At 39.1% G+C, this 19809-nt stretch overlaps 2 protein-coding genes across 6 annotated transcripts in view, besides 5 other annotated features; one reads left to right on the forward strand and one right to left on the reverse strand.

Moving 5' to 3' along the window:
- Nucleotides 1-19809, forward strand: part of PRKG1 (protein kinase cGMP-dependent 1) — a 1307463-nt gene that overhangs the window by 699175 nt on the left and 588479 nt on the right. The gene's annotated exons all lie outside the window — the stretch shown is intronic.
- CSTF2T (cleavage stimulation factor subunit 2 tau variant) lies at nt 5424-9533 on the reverse strand. Its single transcript, NM_015235.3, has one exon. It carries the CDS (start codon nt 9485-9487, stop codon nt 7637-7639), a length of 1851 nt encoding a protein of 616 aa, NP_056050.1. The 5' UTR covers nt 9488-9533; the 3' UTR covers nt 5424-7636.
- Nucleotides 9221-9800: an enhancer, noted in NCBI's record as "active region_3374". NCBI's record gives its function as "activates an Ori minimal core promoter by ATAC-STARR-seq in GM12878 lymphoblastoid cells {active_cell/tissue: GM12878}" and the evidence as "EXISTENCE:reporter gene assay evidence [ECO:0000049][PMID:35858748]".
- Nucleotides 9925-10613: an enhancer, noted in NCBI's record as "H3K27ac hESC enhancer chr10:53459747-53460435 (GRCh37/hg19 assembly coordinates)". NCBI's record gives its function as "activates a minimal SCP1, AML or CMV promoter by ChIP-STARR-seq in primed H9 embryonic stem cells {active_cell/tissue: H9 hESC(primed)}" and the evidence as "EXISTENCE:reporter gene assay evidence [ECO:0000049][PMID:30033119]".
- Nucleotides 9925-10661: a biological region, named in NCBI's record as "Sharpr-MPRA regulatory region 685".
- Nucleotides 10367-10661: a silencer, noted in NCBI's record as "tiled region #685; K562 Repressive non-DNase unmatched - State 5:Enh". NCBI's record gives its function as "represses a minimal TATA promoter and a strong SV40 promoter by Sharpr-MPRA in K562 cells {active_cell/tissue: K562}" and the evidence as "EXISTENCE:reporter gene assay evidence [ECO:0000049][PMID:27701403]".
- Nucleotides 19214-19714: an enhancer, noted in NCBI's record as "H3K4me1 hESC enhancer chr10:53469036-53469536 (GRCh37/hg19 assembly coordinates)". NCBI's record gives its function as "activates a minimal SCP1, AML or CMV promoter by ChIP-STARR-seq in naive H9 embryonic stem cells {active_cell/tissue: H9 hESC(naive)}" and the evidence as "EXISTENCE:reporter gene assay evidence [ECO:0000049][PMID:30033119]".

Consider the following 19809-nt stretch of genomic DNA (forward strand, 5'->3'; position numbering starts at 1 on the left):
CCTCAGGGAACTTAGAATCATGACAAAGGGAAAGGGGCAGCAGGCACAGGACCAGAGCAGGAGCAAGAGAGCAGAGGGGGAGGTGCTGCACACTTTTAAATTACCAGATTACATGAGAACTCACTCACTAATAAGAGGACAGTACCATGGGGGATGGTGATAAACTATTCATGAGAAATCCACCCTCATGATCCAATCACCTCCCACAAGGCCCCTCCTCCAACACCGGGGATTATATTTCAATATGAGATTTGGGTGGGGACACATCCAAACTATATCAGGGCTATATAGGACACATAAGGATTTTGAATTTTATTCTAAGAGCAATGTAAGCCATGAGAGGTTTTAACAGGGAAATAACATGATCTGGTTAAGGGCTTTTGTTTTGTTTTGTTTAAATTACTGTGCCTGTTATATGAAAGTTTATATAGTGGGTCATTTTCTATAATCTACATAAGTAGATTCCTAAATTGGTACAGGCTGCTTCATATTCATTCCAGGCAACAAAGTGAGATAGTAGAGAATCAGAGAGTCAGAGGTTGGCAGGTACATCAATAACAGATAAAGAAATTAAAGAATTTTGGGCCGGGCGCTGTGGCTCACACCTGTAATCCCAGCACTTTGGGAGGCCGAGGAGGGTGGATAAGGAGGTCCAGAGATCGAGGCCATCCTGGCCAATATGGTGAAACCCCGTCTCTACTAAAAATACAAAAATTAGCTGGGTGTGGTGGCGAGCACCTGTACTCCCAGCTACTCAGGAGGCTGAGGCAGGAGAATCGCTTGAACCCGGGAGGCAGAGGTTGCAGTGAGCCAAGATTGCACCACTACACCCCCCAGCCTGGCGACAGAGTGAGACTCTGTCTCAAAAAAAAAAAAAAAAAAAAAAAAAGAATTACGTTCCATTATGTATACTATCCATATCTTCATTCTAGAGCTGTTAACATTTAATATCTACATATATGAATAATATATATCATATTTTATAAATATATGTTTTCATTGAAAAAGAAGATATTGCTATTTTGGATTAATATTTATTGAAAATGCAAACATTTGTGGGCTAAATATACTGATTGGCTTAGTTTCCTAGGACATTCCTTTGCTCAGTATAGCTCATCAAAATCCACAAAAAAAAAATGCATCAAGATTTTTGTTTTTGTTTGCTTTGGGTTTTCCTTTTGTTGCTGGTTGATTTTGCAGAAATACATGTGCCGAACCAGTTGCTAAACAGGTTTTTCTTTTTATCTTTTTTTTTTTTTTTTTGAGATAAGGTCTTGCTCTGTCACCCAGGCTGGAGTGCAGTGGCGAGATCCCGGCTCACTGCAGCCTCCACCTCCTGGGCTGAAGTGATCCTCCCACTTCAACGTCCTAAGTAGCTGGGACTACAGAGCCATGCCACCATGGCCAACTAATGAACTAATTTTTGTATACTTTATAGAGACAGGGTTTCACCATGCTGCTCAGGCTGGTCTCAAACTCCTGGACACAAGCGATCCTCCAGCCTTGGGCTCCCAAACAGCTGGGATTGCAGGCGTGAGATACCTTGTCTGGCCTTGAGCAAGTTTTTCTATGCTACATTTGTCAAACTAGACACTAATATTGATCCAATCTAATAATTATGTTTTTATACTGAGTAAAAGCAGGAGTTGTAAGCTCGAAGGCTAGGAGGAGGTTAGGCTTGTGGCCAAATTGGAGAATATAAGCTGCTTCTACAGGCATTTAAGTTCAAAATTTTCAAGAAAATTGACTGGTCAAATAAAACATATCTGTAGGCTCAATTGGTCCACAGATCACCAATTTGAGGTTTCTTGTCCAAAGATATTTAAAACTTTTAGGGAACAAAACTTGAATAACATTGACAATAATTCTACAAGTTTCAATAGTGTAATTTCTCTGATGCTTAAAATAGATGAGGATCTTTTCCTCTGATGATTGATAAGCATAAAAAGATGAAATCATTTTGGATATAGGCTTAGCCAAAGATAGGAAATATATTGTATTAATAGTTGATGGTTGTATTTACTCTCCCATACAAGGTTTGTGTCTGGCAATGTTTTTAGTCCTGATTTATGTCACTATATTGATTAACATGAGAACAAGAGTGATATTTCCGATATGGAGTATGATTTAATAAATGTTAAGGCACCAAGCAAGCCCTATATTGGCCTTTTTAAAAAAAAAAAATCACATTATGAATTCAACTATACCATTTCTCTGTCACCCAGGCTGGAGTGCAGTGGCGCGATCTCGGCTCACTGCAAGTTCCGCCTCCTGGGTTCATGCCATTCTCCTGCCTCAGCCTCCCAAGTAGCTGGGACTACAGGTGCCCACCACCACGCCCCTGGCTAATTTTTTTGTATTTTTAGTAGAGACGGATTTTCACCATTAGCCAGGATGGTCTGAATCTCCTGACCATGTGATCTGCCCACCTCTCCATCCCAAAGTGCTGGGATTACAGGCATGAGCCACCACGCCCCGCCCAACTATACCATTTTCCAATGTTGGCACTCATTTTAAATGTTATTAAGGTGAGTCTGTAGGATTCACTTAAAGAATGTGTACATCGCCATACTCAGCTAATTTTTACATTTTTTGTAGAGACAGGATCTCCCTGTGTTGCCCAGGCTGGTCTTAAAGTCCTGAACTCAAGTGATCCTTCTGCCTCAACCTCCCAAACTGCTGGCATGAGCCACTGCATCTGCACGTCAGATATATTTTTTTAAATGACCAACCTTTGTAATACATATGAGATTCATTTCAAATGTCTGCAGATATTATACATACTCAATCATATAAAATTAATTATGATTGAGAATGTTGTGTATTTTTTGTAATTAGCTACGTACTTTTTATTTTTTTATTTTTAAAACCCTATGATTAAAGGGTAGTTACCTAGTTTGGGAATCTAAACCAACTCTTGGTTATAAAGGGTTGTTATTAAATGCCAGGTGTGGTGGCTCACACCTCTAATCCCAGCACTTTGGGAGGGCCAAGGCGGGTGGATCATTTGAGGTCAGGAGTTCAAAACCAGCCTGGCCAACATGGTGAAACCCCGTCTCTACTAAAACTACAAAAATCAGCCAGGTATGGTAGCACACGCCTGTAATCACAGCTACTTGAGAGGATGAGGCAGGGAAATCACTTAAACCCAGGAGGCAGAGGTTGCAGTGAGCTGAGATTGTGCCACTGTACTCCAGCCTGGGCAGCAAAGTGAGACACCACCTCAAAAAAAAAAAAAAAAAAAGCTGTTATTTGGTAAATATTTGGGTGCTTTTTAATAGTATTTAATAAGCACCAGGTTTGTTATTTTTAATGATGTTACCCCAAGTGTCACTTATTTTTAAATTCATTTTATTTTGAGACAGAGTCTCATCTGTTGCCCAGGCTGGAGTGTAGTGGCACAATCTCGACTCACTTCAATCTCCACCTCCCAGGTTCAAGTGCTTCTCGTGCCTCAGACTCCCAAGTAGCTGGGATTACTGGGGCCTGCCAACATGCCTGGCTAATTTTTGTATTTTTAGTAGAGATGGGGTTTCACCACATTGGCCAGGCTGGTCTCAAACTCCTGACCTCAAGTGATCTGCCCACCTCAGCCTCCCAAAGTGCTGGGATTACAGGTATAAGCCACCATGCCCGACTCCCAAGTGTCACTTTTGACACAATTCATGCCCTCAAATGACATGTTATATATTGTTGTAGAATAATATCAAGAACAAACATGATAGTTAATATTTTATGAGAAAGGTAATTGGTAATATGAATATTTGTGAAGGTGAATTTTCAACCAAAGGAGTAAACTTTTGTTTCAGGGTGCATAAAAACAAACGAAAATATTTAAAGATCTGATTCAGTTAACATTTGAAATAAATATATATAAGCACATTATATAGTATGCCAATATCATGTAATATCCCTATTAACATTTAATATTAAAATTTATATTTATGGATACTTACAATATATTAATGATGTCCGTAATATGAATTAGTTCTTAACCAGAGCATTCTTGATAAGAGACTGATGAAAAAAGTAAGCTTCAACCAGGAAAGTCCGTCTAGAGATTAGCTAATATAAAGCAGTGAGAGACTGACATTCTTTTGTGAGAAGACTCTCAGATGTAACTGATAATTCAGTTTCTCTGCCACAGTAGGTTGTTGCACATAATTATCCTTAGACCTCATCAGACCTAAGAGAAAGGCCTGACACACCATAGGAAATTATGTTCTGTGTGCTTAGCTAATGTCCCATCACAGCATGGAAAAACAAGAAGCTCTGCAAGCCGTGATTACGTTAACGGTTTTCTTTCTTAAATGTTTTTCTACCATTAAAATTCTGAAAAGTGTAGTTGAAAAGCCAAACATAATCTTACTTAGATAAGCCTACTTTTGACTGGGATTCACATTGGCTTATATCTTATCAAATACTCCCAAATCCTAGGAAGTCAGCAGATATTAAAACATATTTTTGGTATTAATCATCAGTAATATTAGGGCAAGGACTAATGGGCAGGCACTGATTAAAGTTGATCATTTCATAATCCCAAAAAACATGTACTGCCCAAGAGGATAAGCCTTAAAGAAGCATTAGCAAATCACTGTTTCACCCTGTCATCTTCAACTATTATGATGAATGAATTGGTGATTTTATTTTAGTCTACACATCCTAGGGAAAATTCAGGATGTGAGGGGTTATAAACGATGATTGTGTAGAAAAACACATAAAAGATTCTGATTGTGGCAATATTGCTTGCTTTATTCTTTACTATCAAATGAAATAAGGCTCTATGCTTTCTACATCAATATTGGAATGTTCAATGATTCAGAAGTGAGGAGAATCTATTTCCTTAGCTTTCACAGAGTAGAGGTGATTGTTTTTAATAACCTGTTTCTAATTGTTTTTTGAAATGGAAATAGTTGTTATAGCTCATTTGTTCTGTGTTGCATCTAAACCCTTATGAAGGCAGCATATGTGCTCTTAATGGGATTTTTTCCCCCTAATAACTCTAATAAAATATTTTGTCCTGTTCCCATCTGTGAATATGGGAATGAGATAGGCTGTCCCTGTGTTCAGTTTGTGGAAGTGGACGTAAAAAGTGCACTGCAATATAACTAATGTTGTCAGTAATGAAGATAGCTACGAGGTGCTATTGAAATACAGAGGAATTCTCTCTGGGGAACATAAGCTTAATATCTGACTACCGCCAAGATGTTGCTTATACCAACCACAAAATGGCCCATCTTTATAGTTATTTCAACTGTCAAACTATATAGATAATGGCTCTAAGTGAGTTCCATCCATTCCTGCAATTTCATTAGTTCTGCCTTTTTCATTAAAAACAAAAGGTAATCAGGCCCCATGTATATCCAGAATGGAAGACTTTTGTATAATGTATTCATTAAAAATAAACATATCAGATACTAATGTCAGCCTTAATTGTATCTTTATTTTCTGCATGAAACAATGCAGAGATTTGACTAAAGACTAACATTTAATAATTTTCAGTTACAGCCCTTCAGTGAAAGCTTTGAGATAAAGCAACTAGAATCTCAAAATGATCGAGCCAACTCTGTGAATTAGTATTAAGCATAACTATCACATATGTAAACGCGAGTTATCCTCTCCAATATAGGGGAGGCATATAGGAAACATGGGAAAGTAGCAGTATGAACAAGAGTAAAACAGGTAGTAGAAAACAACAGCATAGGGATGAAAACCTTGCAAACAAAGAATTACTAATTTAAAGTGTAAAAATTTTGCAAAGGGAAGATAACTCAATTTCTACATTTTCAGCTCTTTGTATTAAACATTTTTTCATCTGTAACTAGATATTGGTTTTTCTTCTCCATAGTAAGATCACCTGATATTTGATAATTTATGCTTTTATTACTACTTGTTTTATGATACCAACATTTATGTTCACATCCTCAAGGCTTTATTTTCAAGAAAAAATAAAGTCGTAGTAGCACAATGTGATAAGCTCCATCTTCCAACCAATTTTTAATTGTCTCATTGGTATGTATATTAGGACTAAATGGCTGTATTCCATGCAAAAAGTAAAATGAGCAGTAAGTCAAGTGAGTATTCAGGCTATATAAAAACTTCTACCTACCTGGGCCTTGATTATTCCTGGTAAGATGATTAATGATAGAAAAGTAGATTATGAAATAAGAAAACTAAAAGGCATGTTAAATGCTCTTTAAAGGTTTTTAACTCCTGTCTGGTGGAGCAAATGGACACCATCTGTATAAGAAAGCCAGATACCAAGAAACTGAGAGTTTTACTTAGTGAAACCTTCCACTACTTATGAAAAGTCAAATATCATGTATAACTCATCCAGATCAACTAGTCCCTAGACACTGATTTTTGGGAAGGATGTAAGAGAATTACTGACTCAGATTTAGGGTTTAAAGACTATTGAGAAATAGGAAGGTATTGAGAGATTATTGGGTTTCATCAGAGCAGACTTAAGTAGCCTGGTTGATTTTAGATTTGTCACAGCAAAATCATGCTTGGATGCTCGAGGCCTGGCAGAACCTTGCTGGTCTCTGTAGGGTGGGATAAGTGAAGCAACATTAAACCAGGTGCAGTCCTTAATTTCTCAGGTAACATAACTTTAGAAAAAACAATTCTAATACAAGTTAACTCCTGTCTGGTTGAGCAAATGGACACCATCTGTATACAAACGTCAGATACCAAGAAACTCAGATCTTTACTTAGTGAAACCTTCCACTACTTATGAAAAGTCAAATACCATTTATAACTCATCTAGATCAACCAGTCCCTAGACACTGATTTTTGGGAAGGATTTTTAGAGAATTACTGACTCAGATTTAGGGCTTAAAGACTATTGAGAAATAGGAAGGTATTGAGAGACTGGGTTTCATCAGAGCGGACTTAAGTAACCTGGTTGATCTTAGAATTGTCACAGCAAAATCATCATGCTCAGATGCTTGGGGCCTGGCAGAACCTTGCTGGTCTCTGAAGGATGGGATAAATGAAGCAACAGTAAATCAGGTGCACTCCTTGATTTTTCAGGTAACATAACTTTAGAAAAAAACAATTCTAATACAAGTGTAACCTTATCCTGTTAACTCTGTTTCAAAAATAATTCTAAAACACTAAGACAATGCTTATCCTATTGCCTCCAAAATAGGATTTTGTATTTTAAATGGTTTACCAAAAAATGTATCTTATACTTTTGGGTAAACTTTTATTTTGTTATACAACCAAAAATCTTAAAACTATCTTAGTACATTAACGTTTTAACAGGTCAACTTTTAGTCTTTATGAGCAGTTTTCACGAAGTTTTACTCGACATTTAAAAAATGTAGTTAACATACTGTAGATGCTTCAATATTGCTGCTTATTCTTTGTAATCTTATTTGGCATAATATAATCATGTTCAGAGTTATTTTAAAGTAACTTAAAGTGAACAGACGCACTCCCTCCTCCCCCCACCCTCAATTAAAAAAAAAAGGAAAACAGAAAGAAAGAAAAAGAACAAAAAATAAGATTAGGTTCTAGGAGGAGGGAAACCCTAATCCAAGTGTGGGGATACAGAAGTCAGCTTTTTGCACCCATTCTCCATGCTACAGAATAAAATTTGAGACTACAGCCAAATATTTTCTAAAACCTTTCAAGACGCTCCAGTGGATTTCTGGATTTGTTCCTTTAAAATCAGGATACTCTGCCTTTGCTCAGGGGGCAGCATGGCAATCTGATCTGCAGTCAGTTGAAGAACCTGCATGATCAAAGCTGCCTTCTCCTGATCCTGTGGAGTGACCTGGCTCTGCCCAGGACTAAAACTGCTAGGCTGGCTTCCACCTTGCTTGCTTGCCCCCTGTATACCTCCTCCTTGTATACCTCCTCCTTGTATACTGACTCCTTGTATGCCTGCCCCCTGCATCCCTCCTCCTTGTATGCCTGCTCCCTGCATGCCTGTTCCTTGTATGCCTGTACCCTGCATACCAGCTCCAGGATTCCCCACCCCTGAAATGCCTGGGACCTGTCTGGGTCCCTGAGGAGGGCCACCTGCCCCTATATTAATGGGACCAGGACCCTGAATTCCACCAGTCATAGGGCCTCTTGAACTGGGGACAGGGCCCCTCATCTCCAATCCTCTTGCATCCATGCCCCTTGCTTCCATCCCTCTGGTTTCCATCGCACAGGTCTCCATTCCTCTCCTCTCCATTACACGTGTCTCTAAGACCTCAGTTTCCATGGCACGAGTCTCCATCGCTCGAGAATCTCTACCACCTCTACCATCCATAGGTAGACCCCTTTGATCTATCATGGGGCCTCTGGGCTCTCCAATTAGCAGTCTGGGATCTCCTAATGGCCCTCCCCTCATCTCATGTGAGGAAGGGCCACGAGTGTCATGACCAGAGGCATGATGCATGGGGGGACCCTGATGGGGTGGACCCAGATAACCTCTGGGCTCCACTTCTCCAGTGACTGAAAGCAAAGTCCCTCCACGTGGGTCATTTGGAGCATCTCCTAACAGTCCTCGAGGAGGCAGACCACCAGGAGTCACGGGTCCGCGAGGTATAGGAGCTCTAGGATCTGACATCTGCACTTGTCCCCGCTCTAAAGGCACTGGGCCAACCCCTGGCATTCCAAGTTGGGGCTGCATTGCTCCTCCAGGAGTTAAGGAACCAGGACCAGCTCCGGGAACTGCAGCTGGTATTGGCCCTGGAGCTGGAATTCCACCCTGGATAGGAGTCTGCATCAGAGGAGGAATGTCCTTCACAGGTCTTCTAGCCAAATGCTGAGGCTGAGGAGCTGGAGGATTCTGCTGGTTCAGCAGAACATTAGGTCCTGGGCAGAGCCCAGGGCCAGGGCCAGGGCCAGGGCCAGAGACAGACACAGACTGAGATTTGCCTGGGATCAGTGGTGTGACATGTATCTTCCGATGCAGAATTTTCAGAGCAATCTCTGGATCCATGATTCTCATCACTACTTGTGCCTGCAACAGTGCATAAGCCAGTTGTGGATTTTGAAGTAACATGTTTCGAGCTTCCTGGTGGCTGTTTTGGACACAGAGCTTCATCTGCTTCATCAGCTCAAACATCTGCTCCGGGGGGAGACTGGCTACTGCTCTGGTAATCGATTCAGGGGCATCTTCTGGATCGATGGGATCCCCATAGGGTGAGTCAATAATGGGCGCTGCAGGCCCAAGGCTCTTTAACTCCTCCTTATTCTTTTCACTGGCAGCATTGTCCACCCGAAGCGCTCTCCCACTGAACTCCCGCCCATTGAGGTTCCGCATGGCACTAAGCGCGGTCTCCTGGTCTTGGTATTCGCAGAAGCCATAGCCCTTGGGTTTTCCCGTCTCTCTATCGTATACCAGCCGGAAACTGACAACAGAACCAACCTCCGAGAAAATGTCCTTTAACTGCTCCTCAGTTGCCTCATATGGAATGTTCCCCACGAACACGGAACGCAGTGATCGATCCATTGCCGGGTCTCTCACCGCCAAACTCGACATGATTCCGGTTGTGCAGACAGCCGATAGCGGATTCTTCGAGGCGTCTGTCCTCTTGCGACCGACACTTCCGCTGAGCAACGGAAGCGGCTTTCAAGATCCGGGCAGAAACTTTACTAATTCGCTTGAATCGTTCCGCTTGCCTGTGGAACCTGCATCCCACTAACAACTTATCTAATGCTTTCAGTCCCTGATCCTTCATGGTTCTGTCAGCTTCTTATTACAGAGTCGCATGATTCCTTTCCCATTTCACGTTCCGCTGACTTTCTGTGGGGCCCCAACAGCCCCACTACGACACGCTTGGTACGAGATGACCACAGTAAAGATGGCCGCATAGACTTCACCGTAGTAACTGGGAGGGGACTCTTCCCTTGACGTCAAAGGCGGTTTTGCTTCCGTTCCGCTGGCGGGAAACCGCCAACCGAAAGCGGATTTAAGGCGGCGTGTTTTTCGTTCTGACAAAGTATTTTCATGTGGCCTTTTATTATAGTATAGTTAAGCTAGATTTAAAATCACATTCCAGACTGAGGGAAAAGCGTAGTCGTTTCAGCACATTTGAGATTTGCCCCTTAAACTAAAACAGTATTATATCTCCTTTTTAGAACAACGTTTTTGGAAATTAACTGACAAGAAATATAAACTGAAGCGTGTGCCGGCTGGGCCCTGCCCCCATTCTGTTGCTTCCTATAACCGCTGTTAATGGATGGGTGGCAGACCCTTCTAGGTTTTTCCTGAGCACACGGGCAGCCGTCGTGCTATTCCTAATATTACGGTTTTCTTCCTTAATAACAACCGATTTCAATATTAATTGGTGATTAAATAAATTAGTGATTAATTAGTTATTAGTATTTTATGGCTTCAGAGTATGGAATAAAGAAATTTACTTAACTATCCCTACGTTGATTGGTTCTGATTTTTATTATATCATGCAGTGAGTCCACCACTTCCATGAAGGGAGAAACAAATAGCGGGTGTTTGTCTTCTGCTGTTAGCTTTGCAGGTAGGAGTTAAAACATATTCAGTGTGGTGTTTCCCCGCCTGCAATTCGAAGCTAGAACTGAAGCTTGGAGAGGGCTAGGTAAATTCCCAAGGACAAGCAGCTGGAAAGAGGCCAAGTCAGGATTCTAACCCAGCTTGGTCTCGCATAGCTCCAATTCTACACTGCCTTACGTGTATTGAATATATGAAATGAAGCTAGTGTGATTGAAGAAATGAATTTTAAATCTCATTTTTTATTTAAATATAAAAACTAATGTTCAGTAAGCTATTGGAAAACTTTTTTAGTATTTAGAACAACTTGGATATAGAATCTACTTTTGCAATAATAAATTGTGTTCTAAATAAAAATCATTTTGAAGAACACTAAGACAAAAAATAAAAACAAATAAAAAGAAAGTATTTCCAGTCAAAATTTAACATACTGGTTGAGGTGTGCCATACATGTAACATACATGAAAGATTTTAATGATCAAATACAAAAAAAGTAAAAATAGCCCATCAATTTTATATTTTTTATAAGTCGAAATGTAATATTTTTATATATTTGAGTAAAAAATTATTTTGAAGTTAATGTTATTCATTTCATTTTACTTTTTTAAATGTGGCTATTAGAAAATTTAAAATTATATGGATAGATTGCATTATACTTCTGTGGACTGGACTGCTCCAAGCCTGTGCTTTAATTCCAAAACAGAGAATTATTTTATTCTGAAATATGCCTCTTAAGTGGATTATGAAACTTTTAAATTTCAGCAAAAAAATTGTATTATGTATCTTCAGTATCCTATTCCAATGAATAGATTTGACATGAGTATGATGGTTTAGCTGCAAATAAGACATCCATTTACCTTCAAGTTTTTGAAACAGTTCTGCACTTAGCTGTTCACCCAAGATGCGCGACAGTTTATATTTGCAAGTGACAAGGTTCATTTACATCACCTAATAAGATTTTCCTGCTATGTCAAAGAAACGGAATAGTCACCTGCTAGCAATGTTTCCCCAGTGTGATTCTTTTATTGGGGACGAAAGGGGAGGGGTTAAGGATAGTATCATTTAAAAAAACTAAAGACAAATCTATTTTTCTTCCTTCTATACCATCACTTTACAAAGAGAAGGCATACCTTTTTTATACACATTCTGTCAAGGGTAACTTACAAGTTGAATATGTGTGTAATTGTGTGTGTATTAAATGTAGTAATCATGAAGATGGTAATGGGGTATTATAATATGTTGCAAAATTCGTAGAAGATTGCACATCTTGACAGAGTTTCTTTACTGCTGATACTGTCTAAACCAGTGGTCTTCACATGTAGCAGAACCACCTTGAGCCATGGCTTGTTAAGTCAGATTCTGCTTTATCAGGTCTGGAGAATTTGCATTTCTAATAAGCTCTCAGGTGATGCTGATGCTGCTGGTTTGGAGATCTTTAAGAATCATTGGTCCTAGGGATTGGTAGTAGATTTTCTCATTTACATCAGACCAAACTAAATTTGGTACACTCTATTAAAAGGTTTGAGGTAAAGGTTTTTAAAACATTATGAATTTACTATTAATATACTATTCTAGTACATGCTGATCTGCTACTGAAGATACCCTGGACATGAAGACTGGGTGAACAGAGAGTAGCTGAAGGACTATGGGACAAACAAGAAGGGGGAAGTTATGACTGTAGAGTGTGCTTTAGTCACAGGCTTTCCATGTTCTCTTTAGTCCCACTGTTCCAAACTAGAAGAATGGTTTGTCATGCCCCCGTTCATACAGGACCAGTGTGACCCACCATGTAATTCCATGCCCAGAACACATGAACTAATACTTATTGTTAACTCAATGTCCCCAAATCAAGAGCTCAGATAAACCTATGTATATTTCCTGGTACCAGTACATATTTTTTTATAGATCTAACTTGGAAGAACATCCATTTTTATACTGCTTTTTTATTCCCATAAAGTTTAAATTTTAGATATTTATAGCATGGCATACACTCTGAAGAAAAGTGTACATGGTATAGTGTATGTCCAGACGTTGATTCTTTCAACAGATTGATACCAGATATATTAAGACTGATTTCAAACACACAAGAGCATCTATGGCCAAATGGAAACTGTCCTTTAATCACTTTCAGAAACTACAAACTTAATCCATTGTTCAAAATGAATTTTTTTTTTTTTGACACAGGATTTCACTCCTGTCAGCCAGGCTGGAGTGCGATGGCGTGATCTTGGTTCACTGCAACCTCTGCCTCCTGAGCTCAAGCAATTCTCCTGCCTTAGCCTCCCGAGTAAAGACTACAGGCGTGTGCCACTACTCATGGCTAATTTTTTGTGCGTTTTGTAGAGACGGGGTTTCACCGTGTTGGCCAGGCTGGTCTTGAACTCCTGAGCTCAAGCGATCTGCTTGCCTCAGTCTCCCAAAGAGTTGGCATTACAGGCATGAGCCATTGCACCTGGCCTCAGACTGATTTTTGAACTTCTACCCTGAAATTGCTTTGGGCCTTCATTTATAAGTCATACTAGAAAATCGGTACATTAACTGAAAAGTATACTTTATTTTTAACAAAGAACAGGATTATGCAACAAAATCACCCAACTTCCTGACCAGATTTGGCAAAAATATCATGCTTAGCTAATTCCAAATATCAAACCTTACATCAGAATACAAAAATTCTATACACTTTGAAGGAATTTTTTAAAAAAAGATTCACTATAGAGTGTAAGGAAAAAAGAAAAGATTCACTATTGATTCAGTAGACAAATTCCAAAGACAAGAACTACAAATATTTTGAGTAATGACAGTCATTTTTGAAATAAGTGTACGGGTCCTTCAAGGAATAGCTCAAATAAACTACTCCACAAAGCTTTCTATGACCTTTCTACCCTTTCCCCTAGGTTAGAAGTAATTTTGTTTTTCTTTGGATATAAACCTTGATATACCTTGTACCTTTCTGATTATAGTAACTCCTTTACCTTTCAGCAAAATTGTGATTTTCCTTCTAAACTGTAAAATCATTATATATCCCCCTTTATCAGTTAACTAAGTGCCTCAAATTTATTATTTCATTCCATCAATATTTATTTCAAGCACTGACAATACAGCAGTGAAAACAATAGTCTGCCAGAAAAGAAGGTCTGTAAATGTGGTCCTTGGTTCAGTGGCATCAGCATCACCAGGAAACATCTTAGAAATTAAAAGTTTGGGGCCCTACTCCAAATCTATTGCATCAGAAACAGAGAAATCTTTGAACAAGTTTTCCAGGTAATTCTAATGCAAGCTCAATTTTGAGAACCACTACATTATAAGATTGCAATCATAGTTGCCAGGCACAGTGACTCACGCCTGTAATCCTGGCACTTTGGAAGGCGGAGGTGGGTGGATCATTTGGTCAGGAGTTCAAGACCAGCCCGGCCAACATGGTGAAATGGTGAAACCCCGTGTCTACTAAAAATACAAAAATTAACCAGGTGTGGTGGTGCATGCTTCTAATCTCAGCTATTTGGAGGCCAAGGTTTGAGGATTGCTTGAACCCGGGATGTGGATGTTGCAGTGAGCTGAGATCGCACCACTGCACTCCAGCCTGGGCAACAGAGTGAAACTGTCTCAAAAAAAAAAAAAAAAATTAAATAAATAAATAAATAAAATTAAATTAAATAAAAAGAATGCAATTATAGTATAGTAGCTGATAGATGATAGATAGACAGACAGACAGACAGATAGATAGATAGATAGATAGATATTTTGTTTTCACCTCTGTATCCTCAGCACCTGGGATAGAGCTCAGCACAGGTGGATGTTCATTATATATTTGTTGAATGAATGACAGGAAATGACTTTAAAGTTTGCTAATTCACAAATATTTCATTTTACCAAGGACGGAGCCTGTGGCATTGAATAACGTGCCTCAAATCAAAGACAAGACATGCTGCCAGGACCCTTGTCATTTTATTCCTAGGTCAGTGATAGTTCTTCCATGTTGCCATTTGATGAAATGGATATGCAATAAAGTATGTAGAGATGGAAGAGAGTGATATGTTTTAGATTATCAAGGAAAGCTTTCTGATGGAAATGAGATTTAGGGAAGGGTTATAATCTGGCATAGATAGGTAGAAGATGAAGAAAATAAACCAGAAGCTAGTAATAGCCAACGCAAGAAATTGGGACCTGGTGTTTTTTACGGCCTCAGAGGAAACCAAGAGAGTTGGTGAGGAGTGTGACAAAAGATGGGCTTCTGGGACAGATTATAAAAGGTTTTGAAGTTCAGATTCATGAATGTGAACTTGATGTGAGAGTCAGTAGGCTTCCTTCACCACCCCCTGAAACATGAACATAGAATAATAATGGCAGAGGCTTAAGAATACCAAACTTATCTAATCCTTTTCTATATATTTTCTACCTAGGCTGTTCTTTTTTAATACCTTATAACTTTTAATCTAAATTGTGGTGGTTGTTCTTCCTACATATAACACACTCTGTTACGTAGCTTCATTCTCATTACTTCTCTCCATCCCTTCACATATTCTCCTCTGGCTAAATTGTACCACTCACTTTTTATCATACATGATCTGTATTTTTTCACCTCCTAGCTTTTTGTGATACTATTTGTCAGGGATGCTTCCTTTTTTCCTCTTCTTCTCTTCCCTCCCCCATGTTTAAATCTTTCTGTTCTTCAATGCTCACCTCAAAGACTTCCATTTAGAGTACTGGTTTGGTACTCATTATCTTCTATATTAGAGGTATCAATATTCTTGTATTACCATAAAATCCATATCTGATTGATATTCTCCACAATGCCTGGTCCAGTGCCTTTTATATTCCAAGCACTTAGTAAATATTTTTAAATTAATACAAGATCATCTTACAATAACAAAATATAGATGTTAACCAAATGATAATTTAGTGCCTTTTGCTTACAAAATACTTTTCTCTGGGTTCCCACATTTAGTCTTGATAACAGTCTTATGAAGTACATGCAATTGTTTCCTGATTTTTAACAATGAAGAAACTCAGAGAGTTATTATGTAGAACTTTACCTAACAATGGACTCACTCAAAATACAGATGCTTTATAAAGGCAAACTCTGAGCACTTAGTAGGGAGAAGGCTCTTTGATAAATGCTTTATATAATATAATATTTTATTCTTTCTGCAACCTTTTGAAGATAGGCAGTCATAGTTCCTCAATTTATAGGTAAAGAACAGAGGCACAGAGAAGTTAACTAGTGTGCCTATGTCAACTAGCAGAACGAGGATTTGAACACAAACCATTTGGCTTAAGAAATCAAGCTCATAAATCATTGTTCTATTAAATGAGTTGCCTAAGGATACATAGCTACTAAGTGGCATAACGACAACCTGAAAGCAGGTCTCCTGAATTTGAACTTTCTATTTCATAAGTAGTACAGTAATCACAAGTTATTGACGCCTGGGCACCATCTCCCTTGGCATTTTTCCTGTTTGTCTCTGAGTGTAACTAATTGCAGTTGTGACATCACAATCAGTGCTGTGGTAACAGATGGACTGTGAGGTATAAAGACTGAAGCAATAGAGAAAATGTTTCCTTTTTCAATTTGCAGGACTATAGTTAAACTTCACCTAAAGACTTTTATAAAGCATCCAGTTAGTTAAAGCATGCATTTTTCCATAAAATGAAAGAGCTCAAATTAATTTGGTATATAACTTTTTTTCCCAAAATGCTTAGTGTATTTAATATGAAACAATGTACAGAGGAATAAAAAGCAAATTTCATGTACTCAAACTCCTAACCTCAAATGCTCCACCTGCGCTGGCCTTCCAAAGTGCTGGGAGTGAGCCACAATGCCTGGCCCTGAATTTCATTTACTTATACACAGGATGAATCACTGTTATTGGCAAGTGCAGATTACATGAATTTGGGGCTGCTGGGAGTCTGCCATTTCTGGACTTGAGGTTGAACAGAACCAAATGTTCTCCCTGGAAGGGATTGCGAAGTCCAGCCCAATTTTTTTTTTTTTAATAGATAAAGAAAAGAAAATGACGCCCAGGAAAGGAAAGAAATTAGACCAGGCTCAAATGTCCAGTTACTGATCTAGCTTGTAAAAGGATTTAGATATTCAGATTTTTCTCATCCAAACTATACTCTCAGCACTTAGAAAAGGCAGTAGAGTGAAGGAATTAAGAGCACAGAGATTTTAATGTCAGAATGACTTAGATTGGCTACCTAGTTCAACACGTAATTTTGTGGCATTGTACAAATTACTTCGCCTCTCTGTGGTTCCATTTCCACATCTTTTAAATGAGAGTAATGTCACCTGTATTGGATTATTGTGTGGAATACATGATATACTTATATTTTTATTATTCCTTACATTGTATGGTCATTATTAATCTACATTGGTTATCTAGTAATAGTAGATGAAGTAGCATCTTATGTGGAAAGAGACACAAGTTTTAGTCTGATGCTATTTATTTGGGGGCCTATATCTTTATTTTTATTATTGAAAGGCTTGTACTTGTACTAATGGTCTTGTCAGATTATATTATTTTCAAGTTGTACAACCTTAACACTGCCATTTTAGCCTTTGGTAGATTTGTAGTTGAAATGGATACTTTTTAGGCTTGATCCCATAGAATACTTCAATGAGAATTTTACCGATCATCTTGGTGCACATTAGGTTCTTGTACTAAACCATGAAATGCACTCTTCAAATATGTAGTCGGCTAGAATTCCACTTGTCCATTTTTATTAAAAGGGCCTGCCTGAACTTTGACTGTGGAGGATATAGGCTTATTTAACACCACATCGTTCTGCCACACAAGGTACCTACTCGAGCGCATAGTCCTGTTCAGGGTGATATTAGGACTACTACTTTTAAGTGTGCACTGGCAGACGTAGGCCATTTATTCAAACATAGAAAGGCATAGCTAATTAGACAAGAAGCAGAGCTCCCTTATTCGTGCTTCAGGCTGTCACCCGAAGGAACGCAGAAGTATCCTCATAAACTGTGGAAAAGTACAAGCCCTGTAACTAGGTCTGAATAAAGATACCCTATTTAAGTGGAACAACGCATGAATCTTTTTTTTTTTTCCTGTGACCGGAACAATACAACACCTCACTTCAGAGAAATGTGTAAACTGCCACTCACTTCAGAAATTTGGCTAGTATATCTCTTCTGAGGCTAGGTTGGTCTGAGAATGTGCCTATATTTGTACCAAGTTACAGGAAAGAGGCCTTTCTGAAAACATTTGATTCCAGGCTCAGACTGTTGAAAACAACAAATGTCAGTTTAACAGAATATATTTTAGATTCATTATCACAGTTGAATGATCCTTGAAAAACATTATGTCAAGAATTCCAGTTTAAATTTACCTTCTAACTCTGGATTCTTGAGTTAGAAATTAGAAAACCTAAAATCTAATGTTTATAGGAATGTAGTAGCTAGCATTTTATGGTACACGTACAGAAACCAATTCCAACCAAGGTAAGCAAAGGAAGTGGTGGTTATTTTCATGACATTTTGTTATCTCTCAGAACCCACAGAAATTAATCTGCTAGGCTGCTGTATTAGAATACCACAGACTTAAACAGAAATTTATTTTCTTACAGTCCTACATGCTGGAAGTTCAAAATCAAGGTGCAAGTAGGTTAGGTTTTTCCTGATCCTCTCTCCTTGGCTTGCAAATGGCTGCCTCCTCAGTGTCCTCGCGTCACCTGCTGTGTGCATGCACTCTGGTGTCTCTTCCTTTTCCTGTAGGAACACCCATTGTATTAGATGAGGGGTCCACACGTATGACCTCATTTAATTATAATTATCTCTTTAGAGGCTCTGTCTCTAAATACAGTCACATTGTGGGCTAGGGCTTCAACATATGAATTTTGAGGGACATAATTGACTCCGTAACAAGCAGTAATGCAGTAACCTCTAGGAAAAGAAAAAATGGGTAATTGTTGGCATTCAGAATACTCTATTCCCATCTCTTTCTCTCTCTCTCAAAATCTTTGTCTCCCACTCCCTTCCTCACTCCCTCTTCGCTGCATCTCTTTGTACATTTGTGGTGGTTTTCCTCTGTTGAAGGATCAGATCTCCTATTTCTCTCTCTAGTCCATTGTCATTCCAGTTTTCTGGAACTGGGAATCTGAAGGTCCAGCTTTATTCTGGTGTGTATCTGTGATTCAATTCAGCATTGTTAAGAGGTTGGAGCCAGAGTGATAGTGAGACCATTTACTAGTCTATGTCTGCTGGGGCCGGGTAGTCAGCTGGAGCAGGAGGAAGCCTACAGACCTTTGCGGTGCCAGTTGTTAACCTCCTTTACCTTCCAGGTCATGGAGAGGTCAGGAGACTGACTTGAGGGGCTTGAGGGAGCATCTATCATCCTGTACCACTGGTGTAGCCATACTGGTTACTGCTGAATGTCTATCCTGGTTGACCATGAATTCCAAAAATACTTTGGTGACCTACTCTTATGAAGGAAGGGAGCAGTTAAAAGGGCTGTTTTGAGCTAGACAGCCATTTCCAATGCACATTCTGCCAGAGAAAGTTTGTCCACAACCTTCCTCTAAATCATTCTCTCAATCTCTACAAAACATAAAACATTATTTCCAAAAATAGATCATTTTCTTAGAAATGTTTAAATGTGGACTTCCAGTTAGAAAAATGGTCTAATATAAAACAGTAGAGGAATGTTTAGCCACCAATTCACAGTTTTTAGAAAGTTCCCACCATATATAATGCGTGATCTTCTTGAAGGTGAATACACTGTACTTTTAAAATATCAAACTCTTCCATCCTTCATATAAAAATATTGACCATTTTTCTTGACAGTTTAATGACAAAATCATAGCAACAATTCTTTCAGTTATTATCATCTTTATCACTATCATCTGACATTTATGCTGAAATAGCTGTGTATACGTTCTTGCAGAGCAGTACAATGAGAAACTTTTCTCTCTGGCCTCCAGGTGTTTGTCAATTCCATCCTGGCTCTGGGGAACAAAACAAGTGCCTGCAGGAAAACAGGGAAGTGCAAATGACCTATTCCTCTAGAGCTCAGCCTTTTGTTAGCCTTGAAAATGGAATTGCCTGTGTTGGTCCATAGCCCTTGAGGGGTCTAGGAAAGAGAAGCTGATGCCTGCAGGGAGAATAAAGAAAGTGCCAACATTTTTCTGCCCATGTAGTGGTCTGGAGTTTGCTGCCAAGTGGTCTGGAGTTTGCTGCCAAGGTCCCAGGACTGGGTAATAGTTGCAGGTCTTCATTCTTATCAGCAGGACTTCCACAGGGAGGAGAGGTTCTGGGAAATCCTCCTGACAGCAGGTGTCTGCAAATGGGGAGGCAGAGATGAGGGAGGGAAGGAAAGTGT

This window comes from Homo sapiens, chromosome 10 (assembly GCF_000001405.40).
Source record: "Homo sapiens chromosome 10, GRCh38.p14 Primary Assembly".
Classification (NCBI taxonomy): Eukaryota; Metazoa; Chordata; class Mammalia; order Primates; family Hominidae; genus Homo; species Homo sapiens.